This window comes from Homo sapiens, chromosome 17 (genome assembly GCF_000001405.40).
Source record: "Homo sapiens chromosome 17, GRCh38.p14 Primary Assembly".
Lineage (NCBI taxonomy): Eukaryota > Metazoa > Chordata > Mammalia > Primates > Hominidae > Homo > Homo sapiens.
In genome coordinates this window covers 57437762-57450168 of record NC_000017.11, presented here as the reverse complement: position 1 = coordinate 57450168, position 12407 = coordinate 57437762, and the positions used below count along the sequence as shown (strand labels likewise).

At 49.7% G+C, this 12407-nt stretch overlaps 1 protein-coding gene across 10 annotated transcripts in view, besides 3 other annotated features; it reads right to left on the bottom strand.

Moving 5' to 3' along the window:
* The window catches only part of MSI2 (musashi RNA binding protein 2), a 445731-nt gene that overhangs the window by 251413 nt on the left and 181911 nt on the right, over window positions 1-12407 (bottom strand). The window lies entirely within an intron of this gene.
* Window positions 5849-5918: a silencer, noted in NCBI's record as "silent region_8749". NCBI's record gives its function as "represses an Ori minimal core promoter by ATAC-STARR-seq in GM12878 lymphoblastoid cells {active_cell/tissue: GM12878}" and the evidence as "EXISTENCE:reporter gene assay evidence [ECO:0000049][PMID:35858748]".
* Window positions 8911-8970: an enhancer, noted in NCBI's record as "active region_12432". NCBI's record gives its function as "activates an Ori minimal core promoter by ATAC-STARR-seq in GM12878 lymphoblastoid cells {active_cell/tissue: GM12878}" and the evidence as "EXISTENCE:reporter gene assay evidence [ECO:0000049][PMID:35858748]".
* Window positions 9381-9440: a silencer, noted in NCBI's record as "silent region_8748". NCBI's record gives its function as "represses an Ori minimal core promoter by ATAC-STARR-seq in GM12878 lymphoblastoid cells {active_cell/tissue: GM12878}" and the evidence as "EXISTENCE:reporter gene assay evidence [ECO:0000049][PMID:35858748]".

Sequence of the window (12407 nt, the reverse complement as noted above, 5' to 3'; positions counted from 1 at the left end):
AGGAAAGAAAACCCTGTTACCCTCCAATGTTGAATTTACTGAAGGTCAAATTCTAGTGCCTATAAACTTTGATAATGTCCTATAATTTACTATTTTTTACAGGTGCTACAGTTTTTTGTTTGTTTGTTTGTTTGTTTGTTTTTTGAGATGGAGTCTCACTCTGTTGCCAGGCTAGAGTGCAGTGGTGTTATCTAGGCTCACTGCAACCTCCGACTTCCTGGTTCAGGCGATTCTCCTGCCTCAGCCTCCCGAGTAGCTGGGATTACAGGCACGTGCCACCACACCCAGCTAATTTTTGTACTTTTAGTAGAGACGGGGTTTCACCGTGTTGGCCAGAATGGTCTTGATCTCCTGACCTCATGATCTGCCTGCCTGGGCCTCACAAAGTGCTGGGATTACAGGCACGAACCACTGCGCCTGGCTGGTGCTACAGCTTTTAATAGCAAAAGTCATTTTTCACTGCTCATTTATAGCACGGAAAGGGAAAAAAATCTGTCGTGTCTGACGTGTCTACTCTAAAACACTTTCTTTTCCTTTCTAGTCAGTAAGTGAACTAAAATTTACTTCTTGAAAATAGATGCATATGTCTATAATGGACACATAACCTATGTGTCTACGATCAAGCCTTGGGGAAAAACAATAAAATAAAGATAAATACCCAGAGAGGGACCAATACCATCCGCTAACAGACCCTGACTTTATTAAATATATCTGCATTTGAGAAACCACTGGTCCACAAGGTCAAAGATTTCTTGGGTCACCAACCAATAAAAAGAAACAAATTCTAGCAATCCCAGTCCTCCACACGTGTGAAAAAAATTCCAGAGTGTGGAAGATCTGTCACTTTGGGGCTATGAACCATGACAGGGTTGGAGAAGGAGTGGGGATAGAGATGAGACCAGGAGGAAGCTAGGCAGCTCCATCCTTCCAAAGAGGGGCCTCACCCAAGCCTCAAGGAGGCTCAGTGAGTACATCCTAGCATTCACACAGGACACAGTATTGGCATTCCTGTAAAACAGTGGCGGTGGAGGGAGGATCCAAGGGTGAGTGGGTGGGTACTGGCACATCATGAAAAGTGCACTGGCCTTGGAGTTTGATATGTGGGTGTCAACCCTAGCTTGGCTTTCAGCCAACAACACAATCATGATGCCGCTCATGATAACAAAGAATATTAAACATTTGAACATTTACTACATACCTGCCAGGCATCACGCTAGGCCCTCAGCATGCATGATCTTGTGTGATCCTCGCTCCAATCCTCCACTCCTTCCTAACGATTCTCCCCATTTTGCAGATGAGGAAGCTGAGGCTCAGGCTCGTTACACAGAGAGGCCAAGGTCCAAGCTAGTAAGTGGCTGGTGTCGTCATGACAGTGCCACCTTAACCTCTCTAGGCTTCCCTTGCTGCCCCTCACCTGGTTTCGAGGCTCCTAGAGCCAACACAAACAACAAAAGTCCAATAACCAAGTTGTCACCCAACATGCTCCTGCTCCTGGAAGGGAGGCCCAGGAACCAGCATACCTGGGTCCCAAGGAAGGTAGAGCAGAACAGCCAGACCACACAGTCACACATCTCCCTGGCTTCACCCAACAGGCAACCAGCATAGAATGTTTGTTACTAACAGCCTGGACAGCAGGAATCCACGCTTTCCACTGCTGTGTTGCTCTGATGGGGGTGAGGGCGATGGGAAGAGAAACCTGTTCCGTACACCCACGGGCAGGCTCCCTGCCAAAACCCGCCACACACCATCTTCCTGTTCATTTTGCCTCACGGATGATTTTTAAAGCTTTTTAATTGTCCTTAATAAATTACCTACATGTGCATGATTGTTACAATAGTTTCATTAATTTTTCTCTGAGCATCTAAGCTGTTTATCACAGAAGTGTTAATGGAAAAGAAAAACATGTCAGGCAGGCACTTTCTCACACACTCTGGGCTTGGGCAAATTAATGCTCATGGGATTGCTTTCCCACACCCCAAACAATTAGGGACGTCTTTATTTCATGCCAGCAAATCATCTTTCAGCAAGGCTAGAAGGAGGATGCCCACCAGAGAGCCCTGCAGCTGCCCAGTGTGGAAGCGGCACACAGATGCCTGCCTGCCTCCCGTTCAGTAACTTGTAAATGTATCTCCACTCCTTCAGCTCAAACCTAAACTGATAGTCCTCAGTGCTCACAACTTGCTCCAAACCAACTAGGAGAGACACGTCAGTGATATTTCAGATGAAGGGCTTCTTGGTATCTGAGGCTTCCACAGATATCAAGAAGTATCTTGGTCTCATCTCTATCCCCACTCCTTCTCCACCCCTGTCATGGTTCATAGCCCCAAAGACAGAAGTAAATTGTCAGTGTCAGTGGGGGCTGGGGAAAGATAAGAGGAAGACAGCGATGATCAAACGTGTCATTCCAGAAGCCAAGCAGGTGGTTCCAGAGTGACAATGGCATAGAACGCAGGCACTGGGTCGTGCACTCCTCAGGGGATGATCCATCCTCTGAGGGTTGGATCATCTGGACTTCCAGTTGTCAAAGAGGGAAAAGGGGCTTCTGGGAGTTTGGCTATAAAACCTGAGACACCCCCCCCACCCATGCCACTCCACATACTTATCATCCAACCCAGGGCTTGACTGCACAGCTGTGTCAGCTGGGCCGTACTCATGTGACAGGAGGATCAGGACTCAGATAAAACATGGAACAGGTCCTCCACAACTGGTCCCCCCTATCCAGGGGCCGCCCTTCCAGAGAAGCGTGATTTAAAATGTAAAACTTAAGCTGGGCACAGTGGCTTGCGCCTGTAAACCCAGTTACTCGGGAGGCTGAGGCAGGAGGATTTCTTGAGACCAGGAGTTCAAGACCAGCCCAGGCAACATAGGGAGGTATCATACCTACAAAAAATAAATAAATAACGAAACAAAACAAACCAGCTGAGCATGGCAGCACACACCTATAGCCCTAGCTACTTGGGAGGCTGAGGTGGGAGGATCACTTGAGCCCAGGAGTTGAGGCTGCAGTGAGTTATGATCGCGTCACTGCACTCCAGCCTGGGTGATACAGAGAGACCCTATCTCTAAATACATAAATAAATGATACTTTAAACAATTTTCTAAACTTGTACTGTGGCAGCTGAGATGCTTCAGCTTTGTTGTTAAGGGTGACGGTCAATCTCTTTGCAGCGCATGGATTTTTGGAGGCAACTTTTACATAGCAACCTTGCATCAAAGCATATGTGAGTGTAGCTACACAATAAAGTCCAAAGCTTCAAGGCGTGCCCCAACCTGACCCCAGCTTTTCTTCCCAAAAGGTTCATTTCTTGCCACACCAGATGATTTGGTGTTCGTCTAACACACTGTGCCTTTTGTCCGTGTGGGTTCCTTCTGCTGCAAAGTTCTTCTCATTTTCATCCATTCTATCAAACTCCCACTCATCCTTCAGAGCCCCTGCTTTTTATTCCCAGATGGAGCCATTCAGAGTCAATGATGTTCCTACAGCATGTGAGTGCATCTCTTTGACAGCTTAGTGGCACTGTTAAGAACATTCCCAGAGTTGAACGGATGCTTGACCTTTTCTCCAACTGGTGTCCCTCAAGGTATCGACAGTCAAGCACTTCTGTGGGTGCCTAAACAGGGAAAGGCCCTATTCTACGTGCTTGGCACCTTTAACATTGAGACCAAGTGGCAGAGAGCCCCAAAGGGGGCCAGCTGTGCAGGGACAGAACATCCCACTGTTTTGCTTGCAGTAGGTCCTTCACTTTTAGCTTCTTAGGGCACTGCGAATTCTTCCTTCCGACCATCCCCTGGCAGAGCCCCATGATCTGGTCCTGCCACCTCGCTAACCTCATCTCCCCTCATTTGCTCACTGTCGCCAGCTCCCCCTCCTTCCTTCTGTTCCCTGAAGTCACAAAGCTCCTTCTTGCCTTGGCAACTGCATGGGCTGTGCGTTCTCCCTGTCCTTGGATGATCACTTGCCCCAGAGATGCCTCTCTGAAGGCTATGCCTAAATCGACACCCTCACACACACCCCACCCCACTCCCCAGTCCCTCTGCAGCCTAACACTTTCTTCCATTTCCTCTGCACCGATCGGTATCAGTAAGGAGTGTGTTCGTGTATTTGTCTTCTCATTTCCAGTCTGACTCCCCATTAGATTACAAACTTCATGAGAGCAAAGAGCTTGCCGTCTTACTCACCTCTGTATCCCCAATACCCGGAACAGTGCCTGGCAGAGACAGGGCATTCCTAAACATTTGTCTCGTGAATCAACGAAACTCATTCCGTCACAGAACAAGGTTTGCTCTCCTAAGCCCCTAGAATAGCGTTCCATATTCTGAAAAATGGCCTGGTTCTGCTGAAGGAAGCCCAGGAAGCACATAGAACGGGGCACACTTTGGAATTCGGGGAGACACCTCCGGGGAACACTGGTAAGTACTCGGTATGAATTCACAAAAACTAGTTGCATGTTAATATATGCTGCCCCCTCCTTAAACGGCTTATAAACACTGTAATTTTCCTCACTAAAACATTGTCTAATAGAACCAACTCCCCTAATTACAGACGTTTGTATGCATTATAATCTTTATACAATTAAACCTACTAAAAAGAATAAATGATTAAATGCACCCCCCCCCACCGCCCTGTCACTAACCCATCCCTCCCCTAACCACCAAAAAAACAAACAACACAACAAAAGACCCCAAAGGTGCTGAGGATACCATGTTGAGCTGTAGACAGACAAAAGTCCCAGGAAATTGAAATTCAGGCTGACACAGAACTTTGTCACTACAGGAGGTAAAGTCAACTTTCACCTTCAAACCCCAGCATCGGACAGCTCAGCATCTGACTTCAATGTCACATAAAAGGCTTGTATGTACAAAATGTCTCATTTCAGGAGCAAACATCTTCCTTCACACACTTCATCTCCAGACACAAACACGCGGCTTGGTGACCGAAGGAAGCTTTTCTGGGATCATCTCCTAAAAATTTCACAAACGCATTCCTGGCTCGGGGGTATTTACCAGGAAGTCTGCGGCGACTCCTCTGGAGCCAGGCAGGTTTAACTGATAAGTCTCTCTTTGGGACACTGGCAGTGCATCCTGGGGAAAACATCCATCATGGAATTTCTATGAAAAACGCCCAGATATCAGCTACTCTTCCTATGCTAACACTCCACTTTTTAAAAATTCAGCATTGTGAGGAGAAAAGGGGAACTATGCCCCGTGAATGCCAGGAGCTGAGATGGGTCCTCCTGTTTGAGTGCTGAAAGGGCCATCAGCACAAAGCCATGTTATCTAAACCCCTGAAAAGCTGGTGGTTGAAAAGGAAGAGCAGGCAGAGAGGCTTAATTATAGCCACAGAGCGGACACCTCCCCACCCCCCGCCAACCCCGGGCTTTCCTCTGGATGTGCCTTGGAAGGTTCCTTCTCCTACCTGGGCCACCAGGCCTTGGGCAACCAGAATAATCATTTCTGCCCTTCCAGGGACAAAGTTCTCCAGCAACAAAACAGGATGGCCTAGTGGAAAGATCTGTGTCATCTCATGGGCCCACAGTGAAGGGCTCTGGGCATCTTCTCCGTGCTGTGTTCTTTTTTTTTTTTCTTTTGAGACGGAGTCTTGCTCTGTCACCCAGTCTGGAGTGCAGTGGCACGATCTCAGCTCACTGCAACATCTGTCTCCCGGGTTCAAGCAATTCTGCCTCAGCCTCCCGAGTTGCTGGGATTACAGGTGCCCGCCGCCACGCCCGACTAATTTTTGTATTTTTAGTACAGACGGGGGTTTCACCATGTTGGTCAGGCTGCTCTCGAACTCCTGACCTCATGATCCACCTGCCTCGGCCTCCCAAAGTGCTGGGATTATAGGCGTGAGCTACTGTGCCTGGCCCGTGCTGTGTTCTTGCCTGTAAACTAGAGCAGATAATAGAATCTGCCTCCTAAGGCTGCTGACGGTGCACTGTAGACGCTGTGTGAGCAGTGGCTGTCATTATCAGACAAAGGATGCCTAGCCATGTGCAGGAATTCTGCAGGGTCACTCAGGCCTTGGTAATCTTGACCCTAAAAGGCCTCTCGAGTCCTTTCTAAAAAAGGGTTTGGGGTGAGGGGAATGGGGCAGAAGTCAGCAAGCACTTAGGTTCTCCCGTTTCTTGTCTTCTTCCCTGGCTCTGCCCCCATCCACCCCAAACCAAAGATGATGACCGGATGTCAGCTGCAATTCCTGAGAATCCGTTAGGGCATCTGACACAGACACCACTGGACTCAGGAGGAGAGAGGCATCTGCCCAGTTTTTGGTAAGGAAGAAAGCAAAGTGGCATCTGCTGAGGTTTACTGTCCCAGGCACGTTGCCCTGGGTGCTCACCCTGTCCTCAAAAGCCCCTAAGGTAGGGACAATGATGATCCCCTTTTGTCTCTGGAGGAACTGAGGTACAGAGAGGTGAAAAGCTTTGCCCAAGGACACAGCTAGTGAGTGACACGGTTCAGGCTGACCCCCTGACAAGCCTGTCTCACACGGGCAGAGCAAACACATTCAGGGGGCAGGGAGGAGATGGGGTTTTACGTGTCAGCTCAGCCCCTAACTTGCTCTTCGACCTGAGAGACCCCTCCTAGGCACCCAGTGCTCCCCTCTGCAGATGGGAGTTGGTTCTTCCAACCGTGTTCTATGGATCTGTGAGTCACCAAGTTCTAGGGCTTTCCCACTCAAGCAGCCTCTCTCAGCCCCTTTTCCAGGCCTTTCTTTGGTGGTTGGGGTACAGATTGGGCAGCCGAGGAGAGGCAGTTCCTGCCGGTGCCACGTGTGCCCGGCACAGCTGCCAGGAAGTCCTATTAGTCAGCACCAACAGCTGCTGCCACAAACACGCGGCACAAACGGAGGAGACGCGCCCAAGACTCTGCTGAACCTTGGGGGTGGTTGGAGAACGAGAAGAGCCAAGGAAAAGCAGGAGTCCAGACCTTCCAGAGGGCTCCACACATGGCCCCCCACTCCCTTTACCCAAGGCCGAAGCCACAAAGTCACCTGAAGCCAAAAGGCCCCACTCAGCCCCAGCCAGCCGGCTTGGCTGGATTTTGTTGTCCTAAGTGGGCCTTCAGCTGCAGACAGGCACAGACATCAGCCAGGCAGACAGGCCGCAAACGGTAGCTGTCCCCAGAGCCCTGAAGCCCCCAGCCATCAGGTTTCCTGTTTCCTCAGAGCAGGGAAGGTGCTGGCAGGTGGGAAGTAACCCCTAACCCCTTCAAGGTGGGTTTGTAAGTATAGGGTCTCTCCCATTAGCGCTTTTCTTCATCCCTTCAAACTTTAATAAGGATGATTTTTGTAAGCATTCTCAGGCTCTCCTGTTTCAAGGAGCATTAAATTTCCAGCACTGTCTGCCAGAGGTATCCCAGGCCCCCAGCGTGCCGGCAGGAGATGCCATTCTACACACCTGTCAGGAAGAAAGGAAGAGTAAGATGGCCCCAGGCCAGCACCGCCTCCCTCGCTCCCACCCCTCTGTTCTCTGGGCATTCCAGGGTCTCGTCAGCAACCCCTCTTGATTTTCATCCAGTCTCATCTTGGGCAACAGAACCTGGGGTTGTGGGTTTTTTCCCAGAAGAAGAAACACACGAGGAGAGGCCAGTGGAGAACAAAACACCCATTTCTTCCGGGAGAAGGGGAGGGGAGATGGCTAACTGCTGGTCAGGCTGTACAAAACCCTATAGAATCCCACAAACCTCGTGCTGTTTAAGAAAAATAAACGCCCACACAAAAACCTCTCCAAGTTCTGAATCTTACAGCAACTCCCCTTTACAAAAGTGAGGTTGTTTATGCTTAAAAACCAAGAAGGCAAATGTCTCTAGAAGGTTTATAAAAATCAGCTGTGTTGGCCAGGCGCAGTGGCTCACGCCTGTAATCCCAGCACTTTGGGAGGCTGAGGCGGGCAGATCACAAGGTCAAGAGATAGAGACCATCCTGGCCAACACGGTGAAACCCCGTCTCAACTAAAAATACAAAAATTAGCCGGGCGTGGTGGCACGCGCCTGTAGTCCCAGCTACTTGGGAGGCTGAGGCAGGAGAATCGCTTGAACCCGGGAGGTGGAGGACCCAGTGAGCCGAGATCGCACCACTGCACTCCAGCCTGGAGACAGAGCAAGACTCTGTCTCAAAAAAAAAAAAAATCAGCTGTGTTGATGTACAGGACCATGAACCCACGCGGAGGCCAGTTTAAATGTACAGCCAAGCAAGGGAGGTCTCCAGGGTGAAGGGAAGAATGCCTCCCTGAGATCCCTTCACCCTTCTGTCCTCCCCATGAAGCTACAATTATGAAATAAATAGTGAAATAATAATGAAAGAAACCCCTGCAGGCATCATCTTTGCCTAAAACAATGACTACTATTGCTACACACCTACTGTGTGCCAGGCAACATGCTTTAAGTACTTCCCATATGGCAATTAATCTACATAATGTCCCTTATGAGGCTGAAATTACATGCATAAGTTTAAATAACAACGAAAAGGAAGAAAGAAAGCACAGAATCAGGCTGAGAGAAAAGGGAAAAGAAAGGGACCCTGGTGAGAGATGCCTTCTGTGCTGGACCTCACAGAGGGACTTTGTCTTATAGGGTCCTGTCTTCCTAAAACAAAGTCTCCAAGAAGTTCAGAGATTTACAACATTATTGAGTCCTGAAGCTGCGATTCAAAACCCAGTTCCAGCTGAGTGCAGAGGTCTGTCTATATGCCAATGATACTTTCATACTTCTTGAAAAAAAATCTACCTCCCAGCAGTGAAAACCAGCCAGCCCAGCTGGTTGCAGGGTGGTGAGGTGACAGAGCAGGCAGTGTGTAGGGCATGGGGACACCTCCCAAGGGATTTAGGAGAGGCAAGAGGGGTGGACCAGAGTTCATACAAGCTATTCAAGAGCCTCAGGGCAGCAATTTAGCACCAAATGCATGAAAAAGAGTCAGCCCTGGGCCTTGGAGGGAGTGGAACCTCTCCCTCTCCTTGGTCAGCCATCTTGTCCTCATGAGTCACCAGGCCCAGGCAAGGGTGTGGGTGGTTCTGCAAACCCGTCCCCGTCAATGGAAACAGAATACAAAGACTTCATCCTCACATTAGTGGGTTACCAGCGTCACTGCCTCCTACAAAGCGCTGCCTGAAAACATCCGTCTCCAGCACGACCAGGTCCCTGCAGCCCTGGGAGAGCGGCAGGGGGCAGTGTTGACAGGAGCAAGCTGGCCAGAGCTACAGCTCCCACCCGGGATGGCCCCTGACCCGAGGCCTCCTCTGAGCCCAAGGGAACCCCTCTGGCCTAGTTTCCTCAGGAGTAAAAAGAGATAGTCCAGGTCTACTCCCTCAAACGTTTCTGTGGCTTAAAATACCAGAAACACCAACATCCCAGGCATAAATAAGGGTACCTGTGGCCTCTTGGCGGACCAGAGGACCAGGGCAAAACCTGCTTCCCCACCTCCTCAGTCCTTACCCTGCACGCCAGGAAATCACATCCACACCCATGCACAGGGGCACATAAATGAACAAACCCACGCTCAGACTCAGTACACAGAGTATGTGAGCCTGCACAGACTGCCATTCATTCAAGTCCCATGGCAGCCTGCCAAATTATAAATAGCCCAGCTCGTTTTTAAGATGACCAGCGTTCAGCAAAGCCCTCTGGCCTTCAGCAGTATATGAGCCTCCTCTTAACCTCTTTTAGCTAGATGCTCAACAAGGAATCCAGTCTGACCCAGCCACGCTACACACACACACACACACACACACACACACACACACACACACACACACACACACGGATAACAAACCCCAGGTAAGACTGTCTGATAAACAGCATCTGACTGATGCTAAGCCCACAGATACGGGGTCCAAAAGGGTATCCAAGTCACAAGAATGACAAACACAAAGCTATTTCAAAGGGAATGAGGGGCACGGCTTCCTGTGCCCCAGCAAGCTCTCAGCAGGCAGACCCAGCTGGCCACCCAGTTCACTTCTCAGACCTCTATTAGAGCACAGGGCACCCATCGCTGCCTCCTCAGCTCACAGTTCAGAACAAGCCCTGCCTCCCCACCCTTTCAAGCACAGTTCAAACTGCCTTGCATGGCTTCTAGGTCAAAACACCACAAGTGACTGGTGGTTTGAAATAAACAGCTAACTCTGGGGAGACCAAACAGTGGAGATAGATCACTCAGCCTCACCCTAAGCTATAATCAAAGAGATAACCATTGGTATTGAATCTTAGCTAGAACAGACCCCCCCTCTTATCCCACCCCAAGCATCACAGACAGAAGTTTCCAATGAGGAATTTCTCAATTCTCTTCATTGTTTCAATTTTCCCCTCTGGCCCTCACACACTATCCCAAGACTTCGGGCCATCCGCTAAGAATCCTGGAAATGTATTCACTTATCAGATTCTTAGGAAATAGTCCAAAGTCTGAGCCTTCTACTATGCTGTGAGCTCCTTCTCTACTAAAAATACAAAAAATTAGTTGGGCAAGGTGGCGCACGCCTGTAATCCCAGCTACTCAGGAGGCTGAGGCAGGAGAATCACTTGAACCCGGGAGGCAGAGGTTGCAGTGAGCCAAGATCGTGCCACTGCACTCCAGCCTGAGCGACAGAGCGAGAGATGCCACCAAAAAAAAAAAAAAAAAGACAAAGCCTATCTCCCCAGTGCCTGGCACAGGACCTGCAATGCCATCCTCCATCTAATGAATGAAAGTCACCTCAAGGGAGGTCCCTGTGGGATGTTGATGAAGGCTTGGGTTGACCCAACTCTCTGCCCGCAAATATCTAATCTCTACCAACAGCCAAGGAAGTGCTTTCTGCAGAGTCCTCCTCGTCCTCTAAATCAGGTGAGGCCATAGTTTGACTACGACATGCCACAACCAGGTTGAGTGCAAATCCTCATCCAGACCTACAAATACCTCTCAGCCTCCAACCTGTAAAATCCCATGAATCACATAGGCTTGATCTGAGCAATCAAAAACTGCCAGAAGCCAAGCCTTCCCCAGCATCAACCAGAGGGACGGAGAAATGTGCCTTAAATCATGCCTCGGGAAACAGAAACCTAATGAAAGTGTCCCCTACTGCAACAAGTCCTGAGCAACTCAACTCAACAGACATACAACAAAATTCCTAGGCCGGGCATGGTGGCTTATGCCTCTGCGGATCACCTGAGGTCAGGAGTTTGAGACCAGCCTGGCCAACATGGTGAAACTCCATTTCTACTAAAAATGCAAAACAAATAGCCGGGCGTGGTGGCAGGTGCCTGTAATCCTAGCTACTTGGGAGGCTGAGGCAGGACAATTGCTTGAATCCAGGAGGCGGGGGTTGCAGTGAGCAACCTGCGCCATTGCACTCCAGCCTGGGCAACAAGAATGAAACAAACGCAGTCTCAAAAAAAAAAAAAATTCCTATGGGAGACCTGCAACCCTCAGGCCCTAGGCTCCGGTCAGACTGGGATTGCCATGGGTCTGCTCTGCTCCTCCGACTAAATCCCTCATCTTGACCCACTTCCATTTTCCCCCTCCTAAAATACTGTATTTTTAAAAATTCCTTAGAGGGAGTGTTTTATTTTCTTAACTGAACTGTGGCTTTCAAAACAGGCCTGACCTTCCTGCTTGCCACCCCTCCTTGTCACGGAGCCACAGAAATTAAATTGATTTTCCCTATCAGTGCTCTGCATCTCAGTGATCATGCCCAGCCTCCAGAAAGTCTGCTTTCTGCTCCATCTCATGAACAGAAGCCCTGCTGCTAAATCTAACCCCACTGGCTCAGGAAGGAGGGGATGGAGGAAGAAGGGGTAACTGAAGGGCACAGGTAACAATTTATGGCCCCCTTGGCACTGTGGTCTTATCTCTGCGGCCAGCCCCTTCTGAGAAATGGTACCCGTTACTGAACTCCCCCTGGGGGGAGGCTATTCCTCGGGGCCTGACTGTTTGCAACAGGTGGCCCAGTCAGGGAGAGGAAAGCTTGCTGTGGGGACCCCATCCTGCCTTCCGCACACCCTACTCCTCTGGGCACGTCCCCAGCCAGGCACCCCAGCTCGGGCTAAACCACCTGCCCCACCCCACCTCTACTGGTGCACTGTCTCCCAGGCGCTGGGAGGTGGAGGCTGCTGCAAAGAAGGCCAAACATGTTCAGAAGGGGCCCTCCATAACCACCCAATCCAAATAAGGTCCCCTTCTCTCTTGTAGGACACACTGTGCTTTCTTTTCACAGCACCTGTGGCACTTTGTAATTACACGGGTGCATGTGCACGGCTTTCTGCGTGCGTCTCTAATGTTGGTCAGTCACACCACATTAGGCCCCATGAAGGTGAGACCATTGTTGCCTTCTTCTCCATGGTATTAAGCACTTCATATTTATTGATTAAGTTAAGTAGAAAAAAGATGCACTTTATCACAGGCTACTAGAAGCAGGATACTAACTTATTTTGGGTTAGGCCTC